This window comes from Homo sapiens, chromosome 16 (assembly GCF_000001405.40).
Source record: "Homo sapiens chromosome 16, GRCh38.p14 Primary Assembly".
Lineage (NCBI taxonomy): Eukaryota > Metazoa > Chordata > Mammalia > Primates > Hominidae > Homo > Homo sapiens.
Window position 1 is genome coordinate 25,092,279 of NC_000016.10, and position 27,959 is coordinate 25,120,237.

Sequence of the window (27,959 nt, forward strand, 5' to 3'; positions counted from 1 at the left end):
TGGATGATGGAAATGTTCACTATCTTCCTTAGGGTAGTGCTTATGTGCAGGTGTAGACGTTTGCCAAAACCCACTGATTTGTACTCTTAAGATGGGTGTGTGGCACAGTGTAAATTTTTACCTCCATTTAACAAAGTAACTGTGGCATGAAAATCACAAGATGCAGAACACATATGGAGTGTACGGTGCCACTTAGAAAAAATGAAAGGCAATGTTTTTCTTAACATGTACGCTCACACTCACACTCAGGGAAAAGCATCTGGGGTTTCTGAGCAGCTGTCCTGGTGGCTGGGTGGCAGGTGCTGCATGTGGCACAGAGGAAAGTCACTAATGCAGAGGGAGAGGGCGCCAACCCTGAGGGTGGGAAGGTGTGGGGATGAGCAGAGGCCCATGAGCACCAGTCTGGCCCTAGTGACGCCCCAGGCCAGGCCTGTGCATTGCCAGGCAGCATCCTACCCTTTGTGACCCTCTGAGTAGGCGCTGCCTAGCAACGCCTCATTGTGAATGTCTGTTTTAAAGACAGGGCCTCCGCCGGGCGCGGTGGCTCATGCCTGTAATCCCAGTACTTTGGGAGGCCAAGGTGAGTGGATCACGAGGTTGGGAGTTCAAGACCAGCCTGGCCAACACAGTGAAACCCCGTCTCTACTAAAACTACAAAAATTAGCCGGGCATGGTGGCACATGCCTGTAGTTCCAGCTACTGGGGGGGTGAGGCAGGAGAATCGCTTGAACCCGGGAGGCAGAGGTTGCAGTGAGCCGCGATTGCACTACTGTACTCCAGCTTGGGCAACAGAGAGTGAGACTTTGTCTCAGTTAAAAAAAAAAAAAAATTTAAAAAAAAGACAGGGCCTCCCTGACTTGCCCAGACTGGACGCGAATCCCAGTGCACTGGATGCTTTTCACGAAGGACAGCAGATCAGTTCTAAGATCCACCAATGTCTTCCTGGTTTGGGGGCCCTGGCTCTGGCTTAGGCCGTTCCATGGCGCGAGTGGGCAACAATGTGACTTCCTTCATCAACCACATCTCAAATGTGCTGATACAGGGAACAGATAAGGGGGAAGAGTTCCCTAACTGTGAAATCAAGGACACTGAAGCATGTGTGGTCTTCATAGAACCACTGAATGAGACATTTCAACATAGTCAAACCGCACCTATGGCCAAGCCTAGAGCAGATCCAATTATGGAACTAGAAACTGAGGTATCTCAACTGAAAGGAAACAACAATAGTTTTGAGGCAGAAATAAAATATCAAAAGATAACTGAAGAGCAGTTGCACAGTAAGATGCAACTACTTTGGTCTTTACAAGACCAGAAACAGGAAATGGATGATTTTAAATGCCAGCAAGAGCAAATGAATATCACACACACCCAGCGCTTTTCAGCCAAAGATGAAGAAATTAAGAACTTGCAAAATGCAAAACAACAAATCAAAACCCACCTGTGTGGAAAACGAGACTACATTCAAACAGACCACGATGTTTTTCAAACAACAGAAGCTGAGTGTCTTCATACAGAAGATGGAACTGAAAAGCCTGATTCATGTAAACTGGAAACTGAAAGATTAGTGAAAGGAACAAAAGAACAAGAACTGGAGATTAAAGTTCTACATGACAAGAATATGACTTTAACTAAATGGATGGATGAGCCGTCCATCAGTGAGGTGGGCAAACTCACTCACATCATCCAGCAGGAAGATGTGGAGGTGCCGGGCCTTCAGGCTAGAACGGCTTCAGCCTCTGACACCAAGGGTGTTGCTCACTTTCAGCAGCAACTGCAAGCACCTGCTTTGGAAACAGAAGAACTATCAGCTGTTTGGAAAGAGGTAGCTAGGGAAAACAGCTATCTAGAAAGAGAGTATCACCATGGAATGGATGTAACTGCTGACAACGAAGGAGGCCTGTGTGAGCTACAAGAGGAAAATAAAAAATCACCCACTAGTAGTGGTCAGGAAAGGTTTATAGACAATGTTCTGAAGTCATCACATCTCAATCAAGAAAAAGATATTGAAACAGATGCATTAAGTCAGAAATGTCAGCCTTTAGCGACAATTCTGCAAACATCCAGCACTGGTCATAACATTGTAACTGTTACTAACAATCAGTATGAGGGGCTTCCACAAGAACTCGATATCTTAAAACAGCCAGTTAAGAAAGTGGAGGTGTGGAAAGAGAAGCTGGTGACCACAGTGCAAAATATGCAGCAGGGAGCAGCCCAATCCCAAGAGGAACTTTGTCAACTTCAGGCAAAGCTTTTAATTGACAGTGATGACGATTCTCAGTGTCAGATGAACCACAGAGATCTGATCCAAAAATATGAAGGGAGTGAAACTCAACTCAAAAACCTGGGGCAGGAGTTAGCACACACGCAGCACAGCATCAGGCAGCTCTGTGACGGCAAAGACAGTCTCTTCCCACAGCTGGATATTTTACCCCAGCTCCCCAGAGAAGCACTTTCTTCACACACCGCAGAATCTCTTCATGCAAGTGAGTCTGCTCTATCAAGTGAGTCTTCTAAATTGCTCCAGCAAGAGATCGAGAAGCTGAGAAAATCACTGCAGGAAAAAGATGCGACCATTAGATCCCTCCAAGGAGACAATCAAAGACTGTCTGATTCCATTGCTGCCATCGCAGAACGAGAAAGAAAAGAACACGAGCAAATGCATTCAGAAATTCAGCAGCTGAAGGAGAAACAAAATGCCTTAGATAGGTTACTTCAGGGAAAAAACCTTTTCATCAGAACCAAAAATAGTCTAATACATTCGTTGAGAGAAAATCTCACTAAAAAAACGAATAAAAATGAACTTTTGAGGCAGGCAGTGAGAAATCTGAAGAAGAGAATATCAGTTTTAGAAATGGATACAGGTGAACTAAAACAGGACAATGAAAAAATCACAGAAACATCCAGGGAAAAGAAAATAGAATATCAGGAGCAACAAATCAAAGAACTTGAAAACCAAAATGTGGTCCTACAGGAAAGGCTGGATAGTTTCCAAAGGAAATGCATACAGTTAGCCAGCAGCACAGAAGCAAAAGTCGACAAACTCCTAATGAGAAACCTCTTCATTAGTTATCTCCACACACCAAAACACAAACAGCATGAAGTGTTACAGGCAATGGGAAGCATCCTGGGTATCACAAGGGAGGAAATGGAGCCACTGTTTCAGGAAGAGCATGGCACTGCTACCAGGTGGATGACTGGGTGGCTTGAAGGAGGATCAAAAAGTGTCCCTAAAACACCACTGGGGCTGAATCAGCAACCTGCCCTTAATGGTTCTTTTTCAGAACTTTTTGTTAAATTTCTTAAAACAGAATCTCTTTCATCTACTCTTCCAACAAGTCTTCCTCCTCACAATTCTCCAGGAAAGATCAAACTCGCTAAAAATGTACAACAAAGTTTAGGAAACACCCCAGCATCCATACCCAGAGGAGCAGATGCCAATCCCTGCCCCTCTGCTCTCTCTTAGGAGCCTGGCTGGACTTGGACCTGGTGGGTCGGGGCATCATCTGTCAAATGCTGCTGCAGAGGCTTTGCCCGCATCTGCACCTCCGCTGATGTCACCTGGCCAGAGTGCAGGAGCTGGGCTGATAGGCTGTCAAGGCAACAGATGATTCTCAGAGACTATGAAAGATCAAGCCATGCTGTGTATCTACTTTATCACTAATGGCCTTTTGGAAACAGTCATTTCATTTTCAGTCATACTTTCTTTAAATTTAATAGAACTATTGCAAGGAAAATTTTTAAGAGTCTCTGAAGGACTGGCCGGGTGTGGTGGCTTATGCCTGTAATCCCAGCACTTTGGGAGACCGAGACGGGTGGATCCCCTGAGGTCAGGAATTCAAATCCCGTCTGGCCAACATGGTGAAATCCCGTCTCTACTAAAAATACAAAAATTAGCTGGGTATGGTGGTGTATGCCTGTAATTCCAGCTACTCGGGAGGCCGAGGCAGGAGAATTGCTTGAACCTGGGAGGCAGAGGTTGCAGTGACCTGAGATCGCGCCACTGCACTCCAGCCTGGGCGACAGAGAGAGACTCCATCTCAAAAGAAAAAAAAAAGAGTCTCTCTGAAGAACTGTAAAGGTATTCACACAAGTTCACACTATGGTTGCTTCTTGTGAGGCTGGGTGTTGGCCAGACTGAGGTTGTGTTTGAGGGATAGTTGAAGTAGTTTTATAATGCTTTCAGTGTTTTATAAGGAGCAGGTACTTTTGTATGCCTTCGGTAATTAAAATATTCATGTGTGTTAAGGATCAAATATTGTAAAATACACGAGTGTATAGTTGGTATATAAGAAAAACAGATGAACAGCAGAAAAGCATAAGTTGCATAAAAATTAAAAAATTTAAAGTTCAGCATGAAGTGACTCACACCTATAATTCCAGCACTTTGGGAGGCTGAGGGGGATGGATAGCTTGAGCTCAGGATTTCAAGAACAACCTGCACAACATGAAGAAACCCTGTTTCCAAAAAAAAAAAAAAAAATAGAAAAATTAGCTAGGTGTGCTGGTGGGCACCTGTAGTCCCAGTTACTCAGGAGGCTGAGGTGGGAAGGTCAAATGAGGCTGGGAGGTCTGGGTTGCCATGAGCCGTGATCACAACACTGCAATCCAGCCTGGGCAACACGGTGACAGCCTGTCTCAAGAAACAAAGAAAAAAAAAGTAGAAGTTCTGTTTTTTGGCTATGTCCTACTCTTTTCCATTTCCCAGAAAACTATTATTAATCTGTATTTTTTCCAGATCTTTTAAAAATATGTGCATGTCTGTATTAATGATAGTATATTATTCTCTGATATGCTTTCTAAAAAAAAATCACTACACCTTGAAGATCTCTTAAAATGTGAATGACTCCATTTTATTCCTTTTAAAAGTAGAATTTCTTCCTATAGATATCCTCCAATTCATTTCAACAGCTCCTATTCATCAGCGTGTAAGCAGTTTGTGCCCCAAATGCTATCAAATGTCCGTGGTCAGCTCCCTTGAGATCAATTTCCTTAAGGGCCCCTCCAAATCTTTATCACTTTCCTCAGGCATGATCATGCCTTCTACCCTCTTGCAGACATTAAAGACCAGCAGTCAAGACCCCCATACCCCCTGCCTATATCCCACCGTCCTCTCTTCATTCATCTCTACTCCTTCCCTTTTGCTCAGAGGAAAAGGGATCCAGCTTTGCAGTTGAAGGCTAACAGTCCCCTGGGCATTACCCATTCAGACTTCTTCAAAGACCTCATTCTACTGATCTCCCATTCTGCTTTGTCTTTCATCTCTCTCTATCCCTAAGCACACAAGTATGTCCATTTTTCCTGGCACATCGCATTCTCCTTTCTGCTCCTCCAGCAACCAACCACTTTATCTGTCTACCTTTCACAGCCAAGCCTCTGAAAGATCACCATCTCGTTGTTCATTGACTTGTTTTTGAAAGCTCTACAAAATCTTGTCTCACTCATGCCCCAGCTATTTTCTGTTAAATCCAATGCATACTCTGTTTACTTAACCTTTCCGTAGTGCCTGATAAATATGAAACACCACATCTTCATTCTTTACATTTTCTCTGCATTCTTCATTTTTAATGATACCACTCTCCCTCCTAATGTTAGAACCTTTTTTCTTAGTCTCTTTGTGGCTTCTTGTTCTGACACTTCTTTTTTTGGAGATGGAGTTTTGCTCTTACTGACCACACTGGTGGGCAGTGGCGCAATCTTGGCTCACTGCAACCTCTGCCTCCCGGGTTCAAGCGATTCTCCTGCCTCAACCTCCTGGGTAGCTGGGACTACAGGCGCCCACCACCACGCCCGGCTAATTTTTTGTATTTTTAATAGAGATGGGGTTTCACCACGTTGGCCAGGCTGGTCTCGAACTCCTGACCTCCTGACCTCAGGTGATCCGCCTGCCTTGGCCTCCCGAAGTGTTGGGATTACAGGTGTGAGCCACCGCGCCCGGCCGTTCTGACACTTCTTAAATGTGAATATTCTCCAAGATACCATCATCAGCTAACAGGATCTTCTTACTCTGCTTGCAGTCTCAGGACAAACTTATCCACTCCCATGATTCAACTTTCACTGGTATGCCAATGACTTCTGAATGTCTATGTCTAACCTCATCCTTCTCCTGATTCCACACTGGTTTATCTAATTGTTTGCTGGATACTTCTATCAGGATGTCCATGGGCTTCTCAAAATCAACATGTCTAAAAAGAAACTCAATATATTCCATTATATCCTTATCACCCAAGGATAAGCCCTCAGAATCATGATTGATCTTTCTCTCTCTCATCCACTGCATATCCAATGAACCAACAGATATTTTCTAATTCTTTCCTTTTTTCTCCTGTTCCCATGGCAGTGGTCCATTCCTTCCTGTCCCCTCTACCAACTGGTACAGCTGACTCCCTGCTGATCTTGCTGGTTCCACCACTGGCCCCATCTTGAGTCCGTTCACATTGCTGTGAGGGTCCACTTCCTAGGATGAAAATCTGATAATGTTACTTCCCTGCTTAAAATTATATGAAGTTCCCACTGCCTGGAGTCCAACTTTAACAGGATATTTGAGGCCTTGCCTTTTTATCCTTGCTCTTTACTAAGGACCTACAGACTGGTCTCCCCTCAGCCACATCTGACAGTTTCTTTCTTTCTTTTTTTTTTTTTTTTTCTCATTTTTTTGAGACAGATTCTCTATCACCCAACCTGGAGTGCAGTGGCATGATCTTGGCTCACTGCAACCTCCACCTCCTGGGTTTAAGCGATTCTCATGCCTTAGCTTTTCAAGTAGCTGAGACTACAGGCATATGCCACTATGCCTGACTAATTTTTGTATTTTTAGTAGAGACAAGGTTTCACCATGTTGCCCAGACTGGTCTTGAACTCCTGGCCTCAAGTGAACTGCCCACCTCAGCCTCCCAAAGTGCTGGGGGATTACAGGCGTGCCACCATGCCAGGCCTGAAAATTTACTGACAGGTTCTTAATAGACATTTGTTGACTGGAATTGGTAATTGAATAATTCAATTCATAACTAAACAATTCCATAACAATTAAATAAACAAATGACACATACAGAAAACACATATAAAGAAATACAAATATAAGGACACATTCATTTCCACCTTAATGAAAAAAATTTAAATAGCTAGCAAATTTTTAAAACATACGTAAGCAACTAAGGTGGTGGCAAAAGGCGATACTCATCACGTCGTGTATAATGACATGCATTATAGTGCAGCATCGCTTTCTGGAGAATAAATTAAATGATAGCATTATCATCTTAGGAAATTTGGAATTACTGTCAAAAATAAATATTAATTTCCTCTAAATGTAGGAATTCTAAACTCTACAGAATTCATTGGAAAAAAATAATTTAGGATAGAACAGATATAATCGTAACAATGGTGACTACCACATCAGACAGAAGTGACAGCTAGATGACAAAAGGGATAAATCCAGCTCAAACCAGCAAAGCCAGCTGGATGACAATTATGAGTGCAGGTGAGAAACAATGAGCACCTGATGAAGGTAACAGGAAGGACAGCCACAGAGAAGGAGAGACCGAGTCAAAAGATAACCAAGGAGGTAGCACGGCCAGATCACAGTAATAGCCAGGGTATAGAAGACAGAGGAGAGGCTGGGTGCAGTGGCTCATGCCTATAATCCCAGCTCTTTGGGAGGCCAAGGCGGGCGGATCATGAGGTCAACAGATCTAAACCATCCTGGCCAACACGGTGAAACCCTGTCTCTACTAAAAATACAAAAATTAGCTGGGTGTGGTGGCGTGCGCCTGTAATCCCAGCTACTTGGGAGGCTGAGGCAGGAGAATTGCTTGAACCCAGGAGGTGGAGGTTGCAGTGAGCCGAGATCGCACCACTGCACTCCACCCTGGCGACAGAGCAAGACTCTGTCTTAAAAAAAAAAAAAAAAAAGAGGAGAAACAGGGGGACTGCCAAGTGTATGGTGAGTAACATGAGGGCATTCAATACCCTAGGGCAGGGGTCAGAATACTTCTTATTAAGGGCCAGAGAGTAAATACTATAGGACCTGTGAGTTGTATGGATCACTATTCCAACTAGGCAACCCTGTTGCTGTAGTGTGTGGCTGTGTTCCAATAAACCTTTTGTATAAAACATGCAATGGGCTGGATTTACCCTGCAGGCCAAAGTTTGGTGCCTTATGGACTAGGGGACAGGGGGAAATGAAGCCAATTTGAGGATGAAGTTCATGGGTTCAATTTCATTTTATTTTGAATTTTTTTTATAATAAAATGAAAGAATGGAGATGAAATCTCCCTCTGTTGCTCAGGCTGGTTTTGAACTCCTGGGCTCAAGCGATTGCCCCGCCTATGAGTTCAAGTTTAGCAGGTCATGTCAGCAGAGACATTCAAGACGGAGATGGCAGCATCACTCTAGGGATGAAGAGATGCCAGCACTGGAAGCATAAAACAGAGTCATCAATCATGAGGTGACAGTTATGGAGCTGAGATGACCCAGGGAAAAGATCTCAAAAGAGAGGACACGAAGGACATCTTTCTGTCCCAATATAAGGACAGATACCTAATGTTACTTCGGATCACTATGGCCCTGGAAAGGTAGAAAGATTACAATCTAACCTTTTTTTTTTTTTTTTTTGAGATGGAGTCTTGCTCTGTCACCCAGGCTGGAGTGCAGTGGTGCAGTGGCGCGATCTTGGCTCACTGCACGCTCCGCCTCCTGGGTTCATGCCATTCTCCTGCCTCAGCCTCCCCAGCAGCTGGGACTACAGGCGCCTGCCACCATGCCTGGCTAATTTTTTTTTTTTTTGTATTTTTTTTAGTAGAGATGGGGTTTCACTGTGTTAGCCAGGATGGTCTCGATCTCCTGACCTCGTGATCTGCCCGCCTTGGCCTCCCAAAGTGCTGGGATTGCAGGCGTGAGCCACCACGCTCAGCTACAATCTAACCTTTTTAAACTCCTACTTTTACTATATCTATATCTCTATCTATCTATCTATCTGTCTATCTATCTATCTATCTATCTACCTATCTATCTATCTATAGAGAGAGGTGGGGTCTCGCTATATTGACCAGGCTAGTCTCAAACTCCTGGCCTCAAGTGATCCTCCCATCTTGGCCTCCCAGCATGCTAGGATTACAGGCATGAGCCACAGTGCCTGGCCACTAAACTACTTTTAAGGAGGGCTCCCATTTTTAAAGTGGGGCTTTCATTCCCTTTTCCAAGATAAAAAAATTTAAAGTTTCAAATTTGTAGATAAGAAGGAAACTTCCCACTGGCCAGAAAATGAGGCAGGTCTAAAATAAAGTGACTAGCAAGTTGTCTAGGTTTTGTTTGTTTTTTTGTTTTTTTGGACGGAGTTTCGCTCTTGTTGCCCAGGCTGGAGTGCAATGGCGCGATCTCGGCTCACTGCAACCTCCGCCTCCTGGGTTCAAGTGATTCTCCTGCCTCAGCCTCCCAAGTAGCTGGGATTACAAGCATGTGCCACCATGCCCTGCTAATTTTTTGTATTTTTAGTAGAAATGGGGTTTCTCCATATCGGCCAGGCTGGTCTCAAACTCCCGACCTCAGGTGATCCACCCAACTTGGCCTGTCTAGGTTTTTTTATTATGAAATATTTTATACACAAAAACCATACAGCATATATATGGGGTGTAATGAATAATTACAAAACATATGTATCCATCCACATCTCAAGAAGTAATTCATTACCAAAAACACTGACAACTTTTCATACCATCGGCATTAATCTGCAAATCAGAAGTAAAGCAGGCAGCCTGCAGCCAGATAAAACCTGCAGATTATGTTTTATTTGGCTAATACAGTGAGTTTCTTTTTTCTTTTTGGTTGCCAATATTTAAATATCAAGAAACTTCACATGGAATTCAGCATTCTGGAGTATCATTAAAAATGGAAGATGAGGCTTCACTACTCCCACATTCACCATGACAATACGTGGCCATGTTCCCCTTTGAATGAACACGTACTCACCGGTTCACTACAGTCCCCCCATTCCCTACTGTCCTATACCCGCCTCCCACTTATTTATTTTACTGGCCCTTGCACTTGAGTTTGTGACCCCTGCTTATACAATATAACTGTGGTTTCCAACCTTTTGGAATATGGAAAATATTCTTTAAAGTAAAAAAATTTCACAGACTCTCAATAGGTACTTATACTAAGACAGGTCCACAATCCCTATCTACCATTTTGAAATCCAAAAAGCTCTACAAAATAAGTTTTTTTTGTAACTTATTTGGCAACAAAAGTTGACCTGAGTCGACATGAAGCTATGTATAATCTTTACGCATCCATGAAGTGTGAAAATATTCATACATTTTGCTATAGTAACAATAATATGTTTGACTATCGGGTGTTGTCCCAGAGCCCAGAGCATTATATAACCACATCATACGTGCATTATTACTTTTAGAAAAATCTGAAACAATCTGAATTCTGAAAGTTATCTGACCCCAAAACTTCCAGATAAGAGACTGTGACTCTATTGTACTTTTAATATCTAACTTTAAGGAAAGACACATACACCAAGCAGAGAGGAGCATGATTTTTTTGAGTCAGAGTCTCACTCTGTCACCCAGGCTGGAGCGCAGCGGCAAGATCTTGGCTCACTGCAACCTCTGCCTCCTGGGTTCAAGCAATTCTTCCACCTCAGCCTCCGGAGGAGCTGGGACTACAGGCGCCTGCCACCACACCGGCTCATTTTCGTATTTTTAGTAGAGACGGGGTTTTACCACGTTGGCCAGGCTGGTCTCAAACTCCTGACCTCAAGTGATCCGCTCGCCTCCGCCTCCCAAAGTGCTGGGATTACAGAAGTGAGCCACTGCGCCTGGCCAGGAGTAAGATATTTTAAAATGGATTTGTACTTCATTAATTACTATGGCATCTCCAACATTTGAGAAAGGGAAATAGAATGATATAGGCAAAACATCCTGTTGTCTGACAAAAACATGTAAACTACATAATAAGGCCATGAAAGCTTAGATCGAAAAGAAGCTGCAATGACACAGGATTTCTTTCCACCCCTGCTCTATGCAGAGGTTGATGGAATCCACTCAGACTGAAGCAAAGCGCACATTACCTACCCCTTCTCAGAAATACTGTTCAGAGTTCCCCTAGAAAAGGCAGAGTGAAGATCAGTGGGAGGAAAAGGACACAGTGGAGTGGGTGAGGGATGCAGAATGTTACTGCTGGCAACGTAAGGATAAGGTTTGTGATCATCAAATATAGGTAGGGCTGACTCGAGGAAGTGAGATGAGATTCATTCAATGCAGCAGCAGGGGACTGTTCTGGGACCAGCAGGTAGAGACGCATTTTGACTCTGAGAATTCAGCGAGGTAGTGGGTCCTCGACTCCTGGAGAAGGTCATTAGATCTCTGTAATGAGAATTTACAGCTGTTTCAGAATGAGAAACCTGGGTTTAGGTCCATAGCTCTGTCATTTACTAGCTCGATGACCCCTTTAATCGCTGGCATCCTCTGTTAAATCAGGAATAAATAACATCACGTCTGAGGCTTGTTGTGAGAAAGGAGTGAGATAAATGTATGCAAAGCACCTAGCCCTGCACCTTCATAAGCACAGATGTTTAATAAACATTCATCCTTCCCTGGTGAAGAGGCAGCCCAGTTCCTGTACTCAAAATGACATGAGAGCCACCATTTAGAAGCACTGATACAGCCGGGTGCGGTGGCTCACGCTTATAATCCTAGCACTTTTGGAGGCCAAGGCGGGCGGATCACAAGGTCAGGAGATCAAGACCATCCTGGCTAACACAGTTAAACCCCGTCTCTACTAAAAATACAAAAAATTATCCGGGCGTGGTGGCGGGCGCCTATAGTCCCAGCTACTCGGGAGGCTGAGGCAGGAGAATGCAACCTGGCACGCAGAGCCTGCAGTGAGCCAAGATCTCACCACTGCACTCCAGCCTGGGCGACAGACTCCATCTCCAAAAAAAAACAAAAAAACAAAAAACCCTGATTCAAGTTTCGCCTCAACCACTTAGTAGCTATCTAATTTGGCAAGTTACGTTTTCTTCTTTCTAAGAAAGAAGTGATCATTGTCAGTAGGTGAGAACCAAGCCAGGAGGTTTAGCACAGCACTTTGTAAACCAAACCACCATAGAAATGTTGATGAGTATTACTATTATACCTTTTAAAGATTTCAGTAAAGGGGCTGGGTGCAGTGGCTCACGCCTGTAATTCCAGCACTTTGTGAGGTCGAGGTGGGAGGATCACTTGAGGCCAGGAGTTCGAGACCAGCCTGGCAAACATGGTGAAACCTTGTCTCTAATAAAAATACAAAAACTAGCCGGGCGTCATGGCGGGTGCCTGTAGTGCCAGCTACTTGGGAGGCTGAGGCAGGAGAATCATTTGAACCTGGGCGGTAGAGGTTGCAGTGAGCTGAGATGGCACCACTGCACTCCAGCCTGGGTGACAGAGCGAGACTCCGTCTCAAAAAAAAAAAAAAAAAAAAAAAAAAAAAAAGATTTCAGTAAAGGGAATGATGAGCTGCTCTTCCACAAATGCAAATAACTGAAAATGCTGCAAATGTAGTAATATCAGGGTACGTTACAGGGAAAAATAAAATAACAGGAACTGTTAATTTCTGAGTCCTTCCAGACAAGCAGTTGCCAACCGGTGACCCACATATTTTGTTTAGTTCCATGGAGTGTAAGGGTAGTTGCTTAATGCAGATTTCAGGCCCTTCTTGAAAATTACAAAGGTGGTCCACACCGGGCCTAGAGCCACTTTGGTAGGTCCTGGTCCTCCAGGTCCCGTGAGATCCTCATCTGGCCCAAGTCACTGATTTTACTAGGTTGGCCCTCTAGGAGTTTGTGTTTATATCCTTGGCTTTCTAAAAACAACCATCTGGAAAAGCAGTTGGACCTCCAGAGGAAACTTCGATCACTGAAGAAATCAATACCGCCTGACACACTCCCCACCAGAGCCTAGGCACTATGCTCTCTTAGTTATGTTCCTCAAATTCCTTCTGTTTGACACTTTCTCCTCATACCTTCAAGCTCCTCATCCCAGTGTATTCTTTTCTCCCTATTTGGGTTATCACTTCTCCCAAAATACCAACTGTATCCACCGGATTATCTGCATCTAAGGGTTTTTAAGAAACAGTAACTTATCTTTTAGGCCGGGTGCGGTCGCTCATGCCTGTAATCCCAGCACTCTGGGAGGCCAAGGTGGGCAGATCATGAGGTCAGGAGATCAAGACCATCCTGGCCAACATGGTGAAACCCCGCCTCTACTAAAAATACAAAAATCAGCTGGGCGTGGTGGTGCATGCCTGTAGTCCCAGCTACTTGGGAGGCTGAGGCAGCAGAATTGCTTGAACCCGGGAGGTGGAGGCTGAAGTCAGCTGAGATCACGCCACTGCACTCTTAGCCTGGGCGACAGAGCAAGACTCCGTCTTAAAAAAAACAAAACAGTAACTTATCTTTTTTCAGCAGGACTACGAACGAAAGGCCCACCATGACCTTTATTGCTTGCCTGATTACCATCCATTCTCCCTGCCTGCTGGTGACAGTGCCCAAGTTTACCTTAGGGAACCAGCACTCCTCCACCTCAGTCCATATGGCTTGAGTGGTGCTCACTCAAGTCCATTTCTGGGGAAAGGTATAGGACCCAGAATAATTCAGAGCCGATCCTGGTACTCTGTCACAGTGACTGGGAGAAGAGTTTTCTTTCTCTCTGGGACTCGGAAGACTGGGAACTCTCCCAGTGGACTGTCTCTCTTTGGACCTGCCCAAAGAGTGAAACCCCTGGATGTAGCCAAATCTGCAGCCACACTACTCTTGGACTCTTGTGATTACTTAGGAGACAACTAATTCCTATCTTTGCTTGAAGAAGTTTTAGGTTTTCTTTATGGCCAAGAGACCTAATCAATACAAGTAGTATTTGAAAGCAGTGTTTAAAGACGGATGACAAAGTCTCTGCTCAGATTTTTCATCTCTGGGTAGCTTTTGTTACCTCCCTCCATCTAATGACAGCTAGGTTTTGTTCAGTGCATTAGCTATCCCTCCATAAGCACACATCTTCCGTATATAAATTATTTTTGTTTGCCTATGTTTCTTTTCAAGCATTCAAGCAGTACCAAAGGAACATGGAGAAGTAGCTGTCTCCAAATCCAAGAGGAAGAAGACTTTTTAAACTGGCACAAGGTGTCTCCCAGTTCTAAATTTCTAAATGTCAAGAACTTGCAGCAGCAGTCAAGTTCCTAGGAATACTGGTTTCTGAGACTGCACCACCTCCGAATTCCCTCGCAGGCGTTCTGAAATTCACTAAGCAAATCCGACTGGCTTTCATATATCCCTTTATTTCTTGCTACCATGCACTTAAAGGACTCCCAACAGCGGGTCAACCCGGAAAGTCTGACAATGCTGCCCCCCACAGCACAGCGCTCGGCACAGCGTTAGGGACAGAAGTCATCGGAGTTTTAGCACAGGGCAGCGGTCCCAGGCTGGCTGTGTCCTCCGGAAGAGAGGAGAAGCATCGGGTGTAGTCCTCGCAGGGCAATGCTCGCCGGGGTAGGGACAATGGGCAGGGGGCACCCGAGGGGTTGCTACAGAGGAGGCAGCGGCCCGTCCCAGATGGTCGCCAAGGACCAGGGGGCGATTGAGCGGCAGCGGGCGTCCCGCTGGCCTCGGGCTGGGCTGTGGTTCGGTCCAGAGCCGACCGGCCCATAGTCAGGTCGGCCACCTGCTGATGAGGTTGAACTGCTTCTTCAAGGCAGCGGCGGCGGCAGCCCGCGGGGCGCCGCCTGGCAGGTAGGGCTACACCCAGACGGCTCCTACATGGTTCACAGCTGAGGTGACCGGTGGCTGCGACGGCTGCTGTAGCTACCCGGGCCATTGACCTCGCTCTCTCGCGTCACTTCCGGCGCGCCGTCCACCCGCCCTCTTGGCCGACCGTTCGGGGCCGAGGCCAGTCGAGCCGAGTCCAGCTGGACCGATCGGAGCCGAGCCCAGACGAGCCCGATCTGGCAAAGATCGCGAGGACCAGGGCGCAGAGCAAAGTGGCCTCTGCGTGACTTTGCCCCAGCCCTTGGTACCTCAGGTTCAGCGACGCCATCCACCTGCCCTCTGGCAGATGGTGGCTGAGAGGTCCTTGAAACAGGCAGAACATATTAGCTATAATAGTCAAATATTTACCACATTGAAATTTAGTGGGATTCTCATGTATTTTAAGGGTCCCCTCCACTCTTCCAAATTCCAAGTCACGTGGTTTTCGTCTCCATCAGATCACTCGTGGTGTGGATCTTCAGGGAAGTTATGGGGAAAGGGAGACCAGCAGCCTGCCCCGTGGGTGGCCATCCTCCTCCCCACGGGAGTGCCAGGCAATCTCCCCAGTGCTGGGGTCCTCTCCTGGTAAGTTCATTTTGTTTAGGGTCCAGCTGGGGCCATTGAACCCCTTGACCAAATATGCAAGCAACACTGCGAAGCAAAGCCCAGGGTTGTCAGTTTGGGGTTTTCCATCGAGAGAGAAGTTGAACAACAAATGCCATTCCCTGTCCATTTTATTTTTTTCATCATCAGTGACTAGGCCACTGACTGCCAGGGATGTGCATTTCTTAGGGGTCAGAAGAACAGAGAGCAGCAGCAGCGCAACAGTGCCACAGGAAACATCACTACCCTTGCTAGAACAATTACTGTTAGGACACAGGCAGGGAGCCATTCCTAAATCTTCCTGGGGTGATGGGTGATGGTCTCCTTCCTTGCCACAAACAACATAAAGGATTGTTCCCATGACTGTGCTGGGGGCACACTTTCCTAACAGTGTCTCTATGGCTGTCCCAAGCAGCTAGTGATGGTCACAAGGCTAGACGCAGTGACCAAAGAGTTCTAATCTGAACATCAGTGAGTAGAACTCAAGCACCCACTGGTTAGGATGTTGTGTTGCTGCTGCCCCCAGGTGGGAGCCTCAGAGACCACGTGGCGGACACACAGGCCACACCTGATGGCACCTACCAAGTTCAAGTGTGGCAAAAAAGAGAGCTCTGCTAATAAACTGAGCAACTTCCATTCAACTCCTGGGATTCATTCTGATTGGAACAACCTGGTTAGCCCTTCCCCCAATCCCCACCACCCTCTGAAGCATGACAAGGTGATTTTGGGTGCCAATTGGCCAGACCTTGGCAAGTTTCCACCCCTAGAGTCAGGCAAGGAGCCTTGCTTTTTTTTCTTTTTCTTTTTCTTTTTTTCGAGACAGACTTTCGCTCTTGTTGCCTAGGTTGGAGTGCAGTGGCACGATCTCGGCTCACTGCAACCTCTGCCTCCTGGGTTTAAGCGATTCTTCTGCCTCAGCCTCCTGAGTAGCTGGGACTACAGGCGCGCACCACCATGCCCAGCCATTTTTTGTGTTTTTAGTAGAGATGGAGTTTCACCATGTTGGCCAGGCTGGTCTTGAACTCCTGACCTCATGATCCACCCGCCTCGGCCTCCCAAATCCCGCCTCGGTGACTGGGATTACAGGTGTGAGCCACCACGCCTGGCCAGGAGAGAAGCTTAGTTTTCCATAAGAAGCTGTAGCTTTTTTTTTTTTTTTTTGGAGACAGTTTCGCTCTTGTTGCCCAGGCTGGAGTACAATAGCGCAATCTCGGCTCACCACAACCCCTGCCTTCAGGGTTCAGGCAATTCTCCTGCCTCAGCCTCCGGAGTAGCTGGGATTACAGGCATGCGCCATCATGCCTGGCTAATTTTTATTTTTAGTAGAGATGGGGTTTCACCATGTTGGTCAGGCTGGTCTCGAACTTCTGACCTCAGGTGATCCACTTGCCCCGGCCTCCCAAAGTACTGGGATTACAGGCATGAGCCACCATGCCAGCTTTTTGTTTGTTTTTTGAGACGGAGTTTTGCTCTTGTCCCCTAAGCTGGAGTTCAATGGCACGATCTCAGCTCACTGCAACCTCCACCTCCCGGGTTCAAGTGATTCTCCTGCCTCAACCTCCCTAGTAGCTGAGATTATAGGCGCCTGCCACCATGCCTGGCTAATTTTTGTATTTTTAGTAGAGACGAGGTTTCACCATGTTGGCCAGGCTGATCTCAAACTCTTGACCTCAGGTGATCCACCCACCTCGGACTCCCAAAGTGCTGGGATTACAGGTGTGAGCCACCGCGCCCAGCCCACTCTAGCTATTTTTTATAGAAGAAAGAGATACTGGAGAGCCAAAGCAACAATTGTCCATTGTAGCCTTTTGGGGAGAGATTCCATGGTGAATGCCTAACTTTTGGCCCACAATATTAATGTCCAAGAGCTTTTACACTTCCACAACTCTTCTCCTGACTTTGTCAAAAGATGCAGTCTAGTTGGCAGTGAACTTTCTCTGGCTGGGATATGGCTCAAAGACTACCCCAGCATTGTCTCTTGCATTAAGGTATCATTTAGCCTGAGATGGCTAAGCTTGCAATCTCCAGACTCCACGCTGTCATAAACTTTCAGATCCTCAACCAGGAACTTACATGGAATGAGCTGGCCCTGGAGGTCAGCTGGAAGATGGCCAAATTCCTCTGAATCACCAGCTATTTTGAATCAAAGGCTCATCCAACAACAAAAGTGTATAAACCCATCTGCCTCCGCCTTCTTCCAGTCACCCCCAGTCTCACTGTCCAGACCTGTGGGATTAACACCGTATAGTACTTGCTGTTAACACTTACTATCCACTAACACCCGTGGAATGTGGACACTGCTAAGCTGGGAGATGATGCTTGTGCAATAGTTTGTATTACCCTTTTGGCAAAGGACCACTCCAAGAAAATGGTGTATTTCATCCCATCAGCATTCCCCCTGGCAAAGCTCTCCACCCTTAGTCATTCCCCTCTTGTCATTTCTACTGTGGCTATCAATGAGATCTTGTGCCTCCATTAGAATACTGAGCTAGCATTTGATATTTGACCTCACTCCAAGGTGTGTATTCTGGGTTTCTGTTGTTGATTTTCTTTTTAAAAAAATGAGTGCAATTCAAAGTTCTTAAAGTATATCTGTTTCCTGCTTCCAACAACTGACAGATAACAAAATGGAATATACAAAGACATTTTTAATTTATAATGTATATTAAACATTATTATACATATACAACTTACAAGGGTTGCTTCTGGCTGGATTCTCTGCCAATCGCCCGAACACTGAGGATTCTGCTAGTTGTTCTGCCCTGAGTTAATTATAGCTATAAAATTTCATCACCAGCAAGAAACCAGGCGACTTCCCCAGTACATCTTGAATTTATACATATATTTTGTACTAGATTTAGTACAAAATAAATCCAAAACATCTTGAATATGCCTCATAATGAAACAGACACACGTGAACCCACTCCCACGTGAGAAACTGAGGATGTGTCTATGTGCTCCTTCCCTGCCTCTCCCTCCCCCTCTTGTGTGCTACCCTCCCGGCTCCCTAAAGATCACCAATATCCTGATTCTTTTTTATTTTTTTTTCTCATGTCTTGCCTTCTCTGTACAGTATTTTACCATATATGTACGTTTCTCTAAACAACATTAGTTTTACTTGGTTTGAACTTTACAAAAGTGTTGTTAGACTTCCTTCTTTCACTGAACATCGTGTTTCTGAGATTCAGCCATTGATGCTGCTACCTGGTAGCTCTAGTTCATTTATGATCGCTGCTACATGGCTTCCTATTGTATTACTTTTCCACACACTACTTCCCTCACTACATTTCTTTTCTTTCTTTCTTTTATTTATTTGTTTATTTATTTTTTTGAGACGGAGTCTCGCTCTGTCGCTCAGGACGGAATGCAGTGGCGCCACATGGGCTTACTGCAACCTCCGCCTCCCGGGTTCAAGCGATTCTCCTGCCTCAGCCTCCTGAGTAGCCAGGACTAAGGCGGCCGCCACCACGCCCGGCTAATTTTTGTACTTTTAGTAACAACGGTGTTTCACCATGTTGGCCAGGCTGGTCTCGAACTCCTGACCTCAGGTGATCGGCCCGCCTCGGCTTCCCACAGTGGTGGGATTACAGGAGTGAGCCACTACGCCCGCCCCCCTCACTACATTTCGAAGGCAATTTTGGGGGCAAAGCCCTCAGCACAGTCGCTGGCAGAGTCAGCACACAACAAAATTTTGTAAAATTGAATGACACTGAGCCCGGACTGAATGTAACAACTTACACATGTTGCTTCTGGCTGGATTCTCTGCCCTTTGCCCGAACGCTGAGGATTCTGCTAGCTGTTCCGCCCTGAGTTAATTATAGCTATAAAATTTCGCGACCAGCAAGCAGAAACCGGGCGACTTCTCCAGACACCTAAGACTACGCTTCCCAGAAAGGATTGCGATACTCTCCTACTGTTTAGTTTCTTTTTCCTATCGTCAAATTTCCGGGTTATGTGGGCGGTGCCAAAATAATTATCCAATGAGCAACTTCGTAGGCTGAGCGGGCAGGAGAATTGCTCAATGAGCGACTCGGAAGAGGAGCCAATAAGCGGAGAGGTTGCTGGGGTAGCCGGCGTGGGCGGCGTCACTGAGCCGCGCCAGCTGAGCCAGGTAGGGCCCTACCCTCTTCTGTTGCTTTCTCCCTGTGGCTCGCGCCGTCCCCCGCCGCCCGTCGACCCCGCTTCCATGTCCCTGGCGGACACAGCTCCCAGGAACCTCCACGCCCATGGCCACTAGGCAGAGGGAATCCTCTATCACCTCCTGCTGTTCCACCTCGAGCTGCGACGCAGACGACGAGGGCGTGCGCGGCACCTGCGAAGATGCTTCCCTGTGCAAGAGGTGCCTGTCGGGCGCGGGGTTCGGGGCCGGCATCTGGGGCGCGGGCCTAGGTGGGAGGTGGGCCTGCATCTGAAGAATACGCTCAAGGCTGGCAGGGATGCAGCCCCCGCCTCGCACGACCCTCGCTTCCCACCTGTGAAGTGCACGGAGCAGGGCTTCATTTATTTAACGAATCGTTTCTGAGCTTTTGCTGTGAGCCAGGCAGGGGGCCAGCCTGGGTATCGTCGATGGGAGCAGGCCCCTGAGCCAGACAGACGAGGCCTTGGGCTTCTTGGAGCTAAACGCTGCTGGAAAGACAGACATGAAGCAAATAGTAGCTCCAGCCTCGATGGGTTACGAGGATGAGAGGTGTAGGTTCTCTCTCTTTTGTAGGTTGCATTCTTTAGGGGGTTGGTGTGATCCCTGTTGTGCACCTGAAACTCAGGATGACGAGGGGAAATAACCCACCCAGAGCCAAGTAATATCTCTTTGCAGAGCCAGTACCGCACTAAGTCTCCACTGTTAAGGGTGTGGTGGTGGGGATGGGGGCGTAGCCAGCAGAGGTACGTGTCAGAGAAAGAGAAAGCTTGAGGCTTGAATGTCCACCATTTATTCTTTCATTCAACAAAATTTTTTGAGACCTTACTTTGTGCCAGGCCTTTACTTTGCAGTGGTTAGTAGGAATTCGATGGTGGAAATACACCAAGAACAAGACAGACATGGTGTCAGACATACTGGAACTCACAGCTTTGTTGGAAAAGAGAGACAGGAAGCAAATAATTACCTATGAAATATATAATTATGATTTTTTTGTGTTGAGTGCTGACAAATACGGCAGTGCCATTAGAGTTTGTAATTTTGTCAGTGATGTTTAAGGTGAGAAGAGTTTGGGCGCGGTGGTTCACGCCTGTAATCCCAGCACTTTGGGAGGCCGAGGTGGGCAGATCACGAGGTCAGGAGTTCGAGACCATCCTGGCCAACATGGTGAAACCCCATCTCTACTAAAAATACAAATATTAGCTGGGTGTGGTGGCGGGCGCCTGTAATCCCAGCTACTCGGGAGGCTGAGGCCGGAGAATCATTTGAACCCGGGAGGCAGAGGTTGCAGTGAGCCAAGATCACGCTATTGCACTCCAACCTGGATGAGAGTGCGAGACTATGTCTCAAAAAAAAAAAAAAAAAAAAGTGAGAAGAAAAGGCTTGAAAAATAGGAAAGTTGTAGGAGAGTGTTCAGAGGAGTGTGAACTGTTAGAGGAACTCAAAAAATGCTTTAAAGGTGGGAGAAGGAGGCTGAGGCCACGTAGTGATTGTAGAGTGGGGAAAACCAGTGTGTTGGATTAAACCTTGCACTTTTTATAGGTTCTTGGGGACTAAACTTTCAGAGCATGGATTCTGGAGCTAGACTCTGTCAAACTGAGCGTTGCCACTTACTGGCAGTATAAAGTCGGGGAAATTACTAAACTTTTCTGTGGCTCAGTTTCCTGATCTGTAAAATGGGGAGTATAATAACGCATCATAGGTGGGTGTGGACAAAAATGATATTTAATATTAGTAGAGCACTTGGAGCAGTGTCTGGCATGTAGTCCATGTAAGTGGTGATTGATTAAATTAATAAATACACAAGTATTAAAGTCTTAGAGAGAGTCCCTTATGAAATTTGTGAATTTGAGTGGATTATACTCAGCTTTTTCTTCTGTGGCTTTCAGTTGCTATTGGCCACAGCTGTCTTGGCTCCTGGTAACTTCCACCTGCCGGGTTCAAGTGATTCTCCTGCCTCAACCTTCCAAGTAGCTGGGATCACAGGCACACACCACCATGCCCAGCTAATTTTTGCATTTTTAGTGGAGACAGGGCTTCACCACGTTGGCCAGGCTAGTTTCGAACTCCTGAACTCAAGTGATCCGCTCGCCTTGGTCTCCCAAAGTGCTGGGATTACAGGCATGAGCCACCCCACCCAGCCTAGTCTTTTCATTTTTAAAACAGTGATAATAAAGGTAACCTTTATGGGTGTCAGGATTAAATGAGATTATCGATGCAGAGGATCTGACACAAAGTGAAGCCCTCAGTAAATTATTATTGCTAGTTTTGACTTCCCTCCAGGCTGAATATTGTTTAGTTAAAGTTGCTGAATGTGCAGTAGCTATGAGTTAGGGTGGTTCCTGCTGCCCTGAGTGAGTTATGGCTATAAAATAAAAAGCCAGTCAGCCTTCTGGGTACCTGTAAATCTTTTACTTCTGTTTAGTTTGCTTCTTCCTTTGGTATAGAGTCCTTCTGCGGATAAGTAGGATGTTATCTGTCTCAGAGGATTGCTGTGCAGGTGAAATGTGGAGTGCTTGCAGCAGTGCTTGGCATACTGGAGGTGTTCAGAATTGGTAGTTAACAGTCATCACCACCCCCCTCATTGTCATCAAATCATTATCATCATTGTGATCCTGGACTTGTGGTATCAGAAGTTTTCTGGTTGGATATATTAGGTTTACACTAACTCCATTTGACTCAATAGGTATCAATTGAGCACTTTTCATGGTAGCCCACTCTCCTTCCCTTCTCTGCTCTCCTTATGATGTCCATCATGCTATGCCACTGAGTCTGTTCTCCCCTCTTTTGTTTACCTGTGACCCAACCATCCCACCAACCCCTCACTATGTCCTCTGCAGTTACCACCTGATAATCAACATCAGCTTCTATTTTGTTAGCCTCTCCTTAGCCATTCCCTCCCTCCCTTTGCCTTCACCCTGACCTTTCCTCAGGGATATCCTGTTCTTGAAGCCCTCTCCCGTGGCTCCTCCTCCTTCTCATGCCCTGTGTATCTCAGGATCAGGGATTTGAGCTTTGTGTCCTCCTGTGTGTCTCCCGCGTCTCATTCCATGGAGAGCCTTCCTGCCCAACTGGAGCCCTCCTGATTGCTGTTGTTCAGCTCTCCTGATCATTCACCTCATTCATGGAAGACTGGGGTGCCTGGCCCAGAGTGTCCTCTACCTCAGTTCATGACTTCACCTTAGGTGACCTCAGCATCCACATGGAGCCTATGCACGAGGCACTCACTTTCTTGAACACCTGGTCTGCAGTGATCACCTCTTCCTATCTGATTCTGTCACCCATTCCCACCGTGACACCCTGTGCTTTTATCCTGATGCTGCACTGCCTCACAGATGAGAGTGCAACACTCTCCAGCTCTGACCCCTTTTTTCCAAGTTGCTTGACCAGTTATTTTCTATTTCCCATGCTGTGCCCATTTCTTCTTAGCACCTCAGTGGTTCTCTCTGTCTTTTAGATGTTCCCTCTGCTGTTACCTCTTAATTGATTACTTAGAGTTCATCCTTCATCCCTCGGTAATTCTGTTGACAGTGCATTTATCTTCCTTGCCCTTTGGTCTTAGTAGACCCAAAATGCTGGTTTAACCAAACTATCCATTTTTGCCTTGAATACAGGTGCTAGAAATCACACAGTAGGGTGGCTTGGTGCCGCTACGATCATGTCAGCCAACCTCAACTGTGCCCTTAACAGAACCTGACTATCCTAGTTTGTTTCTCAGATCAACTCACTCTCCCTTTCTCCGGATACTTAATTCAGACATTTTCCCCTTTCTTCAGACTTCTGATTTACCCCACTCCTTTTTCATTCTCAAGATAATATCAGCTATTGCTCAACATGGAAAATGGGAACCCTTAGAATGAAACTCCCTTAACCTCCCCCAGAAACTTTGTTTGTTTTGTTTTGAGAGGGAGTTTGGCTGTTGTTGCCCAGGCTGGAGTGCAGTGGCGCGATGTTGGTTCACTGCAACCTCTCCCTCCCGGGTTCAAGCAATTCTCCCACTTCAGCCTCCCGAGTAGCTGGGACTACAGGTGCCTGCCACCACACCCGGCTAATTTTTGTATTTTTAGTAGAGAAGGGGTTTCACCATGTTGGTCAGGCTGGTCTCGAATGCCTGACCTCAGGTGATCCACCTGCCTCAGCCCCTCAAAGTGCTGGGATTACAGGCATGAGCCACCACGCCCAGCCTTCCCCCAAGAAATGTAATCATCCTTTTTCACTTTTACAGTTGTGAATTCCTCCAATAAAGACCACCAGAAACACACCTGTAGTTAAACAAGCTGGGTTTATTACTTGTTGCAAGGAGGGAAGACTCACACTATGAGGAGCTGTGGGGCACATCAGTAAGAGAGTGTTAGACCTTTAGGATATGGGCTTTGGCTGGGTGATTTGGGGGAGGGTCAAGGGATTTTCTCTGTGTTGAGTACTGAAAGCAGGTGGGAAAATTCTATCCAGTAGCTCTGTCTTTTCTAGAAGGAGATTTGGCTGGAGTAAGGCTAAAGCTGTAACATGTAAAGAAGCCACAGTCACTTCTATCAGCTGGGAGAAAGAGATGTCTGGTATTCCGTGGGTGGCACAGTGACCTTGCTTTTTTCTCTGCTTAGACAAAATGATGAGGTGGTCTCGTTTCATCTCCTGTCATCAGTGGTGCAGAGTGCCCTTGTGTGGGTGGTCTGCGCGATTGTTTATGTCCAACAGGAGAACAACATGGCCTTCCTATGGGTGCCAGCCAGCTTCCAACAACATTAGGGCCTGGCCCACAGCACCAGACCAGGTCCTGGAGGTCAGTGCCACTCTTCTCTTTTCCACAGTGGAGGAGGTGTTAAAGAGATAAACTGGTAATCCTAGCACTTGGAGAAGCCAAGCGGATCACTTGAGCTCAGGAGTTCAAGACCAGCCTGGGCAACATGGAGAAACCTCCTCTCCACAAAAAAAAAAAAAAAAAATACAAAAAATTAACCAGTGTCGCGGTGCATGCCAGTAGTCCCATCTACTTTGGGGCTGGTGTGGGAGATCACTTGAGCCCAGGAGGTCGAGGCTGCAGTGAGCTGAGATTGTGCCACTGCACTGCAGCCTGAGTGACAAAATGAGATCCTGTCTCAGAAAACAAAAAAAAGAGATAAACCAGAAACTGGGGTTTGCCAGGCAGAAGACAGTAGCAGGAGCAGAGGCATGGAGACTGGAGTAGAGTGGTGTATTAGGTGAACTTGACAGAGAGTAGGGAGTGGGTAGCAGGTTAGAATTTAGAAAGCTGCTCAGGCAGTGAATCGTGGAAGGTCCCAAGGAGTATGGGTTTTATCCTAAGGGATTTTGAGTGCAGAACTGATATGATCTTGGTTTGTGTTTTAGAAAAATTCCTAGCAGCTGTGTGGGAGAAGGGTTGGTGACACAAGGGACATCTTCCTCTCTTTTCCACAACCATAGCCCTTGCTTGGCTCTCCTGACTCACCTGATCTGTTGCAGTGCACTCTTACCTGCTGGCCAGGGTGATTGTCAGGATCGCAAATCTTATTCTGTCACTCACCTAAAAACCTTTTGATTCCCCATCAGCTGCAAGGTAAACATCTGCACTTTGTTGTGTGACATATATACTGTACCTTTTCATGATCTGCTCACTCTAGCCTGATAGGCCGCCGGCTGGACATCTCCACTTGGATGTCCCAGTATTACCTCCAGTTCACTATTTCCAAAACTGCTTCATATCAGCTCCTCGTGTTCTCCCTGCCATTCCCAACCTGAAACTCAGTGAATGGTGCCATGGTTTATTCAGTTCACAAGTTAAGGCCTGGTGCGGTGGCTCACACCTGTAATCCCAGCACTTTCGGAGCCGAGATGGGTGGATCACCTGAGGTCAGAAGTTTGAGACCAACCTGGCCAACATGGTGAAACCCCATCTCTACTAAAAATACAAAAATTAGCTGGGCGTGGTGGTGTGCGCCTGTAATCTCAGCTATTGGGAGGCTGAGATGGGAGAATCGCTTGAACTGGGGAAGTAGAGGTTGCAGAGTACTGGGATCGTGCTACTGCATTCCGGCCTGGGCGACAGAGAGAGACTCCGTCTCAAAAAAAAAAAAAAAAATTTGACATCATCTTGGAACTGCCCCTTTATTTTCCCTCTTGTGCAGTCACCCAGACCTGTTAACTTTTATCTGCTAAGTATTTAGGGGATGAGGGAATTATTTGGCTAAGTAAGGAAAGGAATCAACTTTCCTTAACCTCTGTTTCTGCCGTCTGTGATCTGAACTATGGTACTAGTCTCCCAAATGGGCTCTCCCGATCTCTGTTACCTCCCCGAAATCTGTATCTCACACTGAAGCCAGAGGTTTGTAAAAGGCCCATTTGATCTTGTCACTCCCTAGCTTAATGGCCTCCTGTTGCCATTAGAAAAAGACCAGCATTTCTTACGTGGGCTATAGGGCCCAGCCTGCTCTGTGTACTTCCCCAGCCTCACTTCATACCACACTTCCCTCCCCCGTCACCGCCATCCTTTCAGTTCATCTAATATGCCCCATTTCTTCCATCCTCGGGGCCCTGGAGCATGCCATTCCCTCTGCCTGGAACGCTTCCTCCACCCTCCCTTGCCTGCTTAGTTCCACATTATCTCCTAGGTGAGTGCATTCACTCCACATTCTTTGTTGAGCGCCTGCTTCGGTTATGGAGGTGCTGTCCTAGACCCTGCCAATGCAGAAGTGAGCCAAACACAGGATGCAGCTCTTATGGAGCATTGGTTCCTGGAGTGGGGGTGGGTAGGGAATAGCCAGGAAACAAATCAGCACAATATGTGTCGTGTGAGACGGTGGGAGATGCAGTGGGTGTGTTGGAAGGAGTTGTCATCTGAGATGGGGTGGCTAGGGAAGGCCTCACTGAGGTCAGTGCAGAGGAAAGGCTTGCAGGGGGCAGGAGTGAGCCCTCTGGGTGTCTGGGGAAGCAATGTCCAGCAGAGAGAAGCAGGAGAGTAGAAAGGTCCTGAGGCAGGAGCCGGCCTGACCTGTTCCAGGAGCACCAAGACTAGGGTGAGGGATGGGGATGAGTGCAGGATAGATCTCGGAGAGCATGGGTGCAGGAGGCGGGGGCAGATGCTGCAGGTCACTCGAGGGAGGCTCTTGTAAGGACCCGACTTTTCCTCTCAGTGGGGTGGGAGCTGTTGGAGCATTTGGAACTGAAGAGTGAGGTGGTCTCACTTGGTTTTAATAGCATTGCTTCAGCCTCTGTTAGGAGCAGACTGCAGAGTTAAGGACGGAGGCAGGATCAGTTAGTCGGCTGTGGGGGTGTCCCCTGTGAGACAGGCTGGTGCTTGGATCAGGATAGTGGTGATGGAGGTGCTGAGAATGTATCAGATTCTGGGTGCATTTTGAAGGTGGAGTTGATAGAATGTTCTGGCAGAGTGGATGTGGGGCAAGACTGAGGGGCCCAAGATGACTCCAAGGTTTTTGGCTTAGCTCAAATGTGGCTCACTCCAAGAGGCCTCTCTGACACTCACAGACAAGATCTAGCTTCTGTTAAATGTTCTCGTAACACCCTGTTCATCTTCTTGGTGGTCATCGGCCCAGTTGTAATTTAGAAAGTGCCTAGTGTTCATCTCTGCCACTGGAATAGACGCGATACTGAGCACAGACCATTCCTACCTTTGCGCCACATGAGCTGTATTTGTCAGCTTGGCCACAGTGACGGGAACTGAGCGCACATGTTCAAGATTGTATTTCCTGATGAGGTCTTAACGTTCTGGTTTTCTATTTTACTGACTTTTAGTGGTCTATGTGTTCTAGAAAGCAGACCGGGGCTTATAAGGCTGAAATTTCATTGTGAAAATTATAGAACTTAATCTCATTTTCAGCTGCATGGAAAAATGTTCTCCCCTTTAGCAGGTCACAAGGTCTCTCCACAAAGCCAAGTTTTTCCTCACGGCTTAGCCCAGGGCCTTTCCGGCATCCTGATGACATCTTCTTAGCTATGCCCCAGAGAGTAAGGTCGAGATTGTGATCTGAAATATTTTCAAGGCAGGTGCTGCTTTCCATCCCCAGAGAAGACATGCCACTTCAGAGCTAGAACATTCTGTTAAACATAAATTAGCTGTAAAACTTGTCTATCAGGCCAGGCACGGTGGCTCATGCCTGTAATCCCAGCACTTTGGGAGGCTGAGGCAAGCAGATCATGAAGTCAGGAGATGGAGACCATCCTGGCTAACACGGTGAAATCCCGTCTCTACTAAAAATACAAAAAACTAGCTGGGTGTGACTGCGGGCGCCTGTAATCCTAGCTACTTGGGAGGCTGAGGCAGGAGAATCACTTGAACCCAGGAGGTGGAGGTTGCAGTGAGCCAAGATCACACCACTGCACTCCAGCCTGGGCGACAGAGCGAGACTCTGTCTGAAAAAAATATTTAAAAAAACCCCAAAAAACCTTGTCCATCAATAAAGTGAAATTTTATGGGTTTTTTTGTTTTGTTTT

General features: G+C 46.6%; 1 protein-coding gene, 1 long non-coding RNA gene and 1 pseudogene across 7 annotated transcripts in view, besides 7 other annotated features; 2 read left to right on the forward strand and 1 right to left on the reverse strand.

Moving 5' to 3' along the window:
- LOC100421173 (thyroid hormone receptor interactor 11 pseudogene) lies at nucleotides 1,133-2,902 on the forward strand (annotated as a pseudogene).
- On the reverse strand, nucleotides 8,286-19,277 carry LCMT1-AS1 (LCMT1 antisense RNA 1). The gene is made up of 3 exons (NR_120306.1): nucleotides 19,118-19,277; nucleotides 11,073-11,363; nucleotides 8,286-8,407 (listed from the first exon to the last, which is right to left on the reverse strand). It is a non-coding gene; the product is annotated as an LCMT1 antisense RNA 1 (long non-coding RNA).
- Nucleotides 14,242-14,743: an enhancer, noted in NCBI's record as "H3K27ac hESC enhancer chr16:25117841-25118342 (GRCh37/hg19 assembly coordinates)". NCBI's record gives its function as "activates a minimal SCP1, AML or CMV promoter by ChIP-STARR-seq in primed H9 embryonic stem cells {active_cell/tissue: H9 hESC(primed)}" and the evidence as "EXISTENCE:reporter gene assay evidence [ECO:0000049][PMID:30033119]".
- Nucleotides 14,744-15,243: an enhancer, noted in NCBI's record as "H3K27ac hESC enhancer chr16:25118343-25118842 (GRCh37/hg19 assembly coordinates)". NCBI's record gives its function as "activates a minimal SCP1, AML or CMV promoter by ChIP-STARR-seq in naive H9 embryonic stem cells {active_cell/tissue: H9 hESC(naive)}" and the evidence as "EXISTENCE:reporter gene assay evidence [ECO:0000049][PMID:30033119]".
- Nucleotides 14,748-14,947: an enhancer, noted in NCBI's record as "active region_10603". NCBI's record gives its function as "activates an Ori minimal core promoter by ATAC-STARR-seq in GM12878 lymphoblastoid cells {active_cell/tissue: GM12878}" and the evidence as "EXISTENCE:reporter gene assay evidence [ECO:0000049][PMID:35858748]".
- Nucleotides 18,887-19,414: an enhancer, noted in NCBI's record as "H3K27ac-H3K4me1 hESC enhancer chr16:25122486-25123013 (GRCh37/hg19 assembly coordinates)". NCBI's record gives its function as "activates a minimal SCP1, AML or CMV promoter by ChIP-STARR-seq in naive H9 embryonic stem cells {active_cell/tissue: H9 hESC(naive)}" and the evidence as "EXISTENCE:reporter gene assay evidence [ECO:0000049][PMID:30033119]".
- Nucleotides 18,887-19,521: a biological region, named in NCBI's record as "H3K27ac-H3K4me1 hESC enhancer GRCh37_chr16:25122486-25123013".
- Nucleotides 19,192-19,521: an enhancer, noted in NCBI's record as "active region_10604". NCBI's record gives its function as "activates an Ori minimal core promoter by ATAC-STARR-seq in GM12878 lymphoblastoid cells {active_cell/tissue: GM12878}" and the evidence as "EXISTENCE:reporter gene assay evidence [ECO:0000049][PMID:35858748]".
- Nucleotides 19,464-27,959, forward strand: part of LCMT1 (leucine carboxyl methyltransferase 1) — a 66,487-nt gene continuing 57,991 nt past the window's right edge. For 4 of the 6 annotated variants that reach the window (XM_011545864.2, XM_011545862.3, NM_016309.3 and 1 more), the window contains exon 1: nucleotides 19,464-19,718. In XM_011545864.2, coding sequence (XP_011544166.1) covers nucleotides 19,700-19,718 — 19 coding nt within the window. In that variant the 5' untranslated portion in view covers nucleotides 19,464-19,699. The remainder of the gene's footprint in view (nucleotides 19,719-27,959) is intronic. The other 2 variants (XM_047434197.1, XM_005255354.5) reach the window with 1 other exon arrangement.
- Nucleotides 19,612-19,771: an enhancer, noted in NCBI's record as "active region_10605". NCBI's record gives its function as "activates an Ori minimal core promoter by ATAC-STARR-seq in GM12878 lymphoblastoid cells {active_cell/tissue: GM12878}" and the evidence as "EXISTENCE:reporter gene assay evidence [ECO:0000049][PMID:35858748]".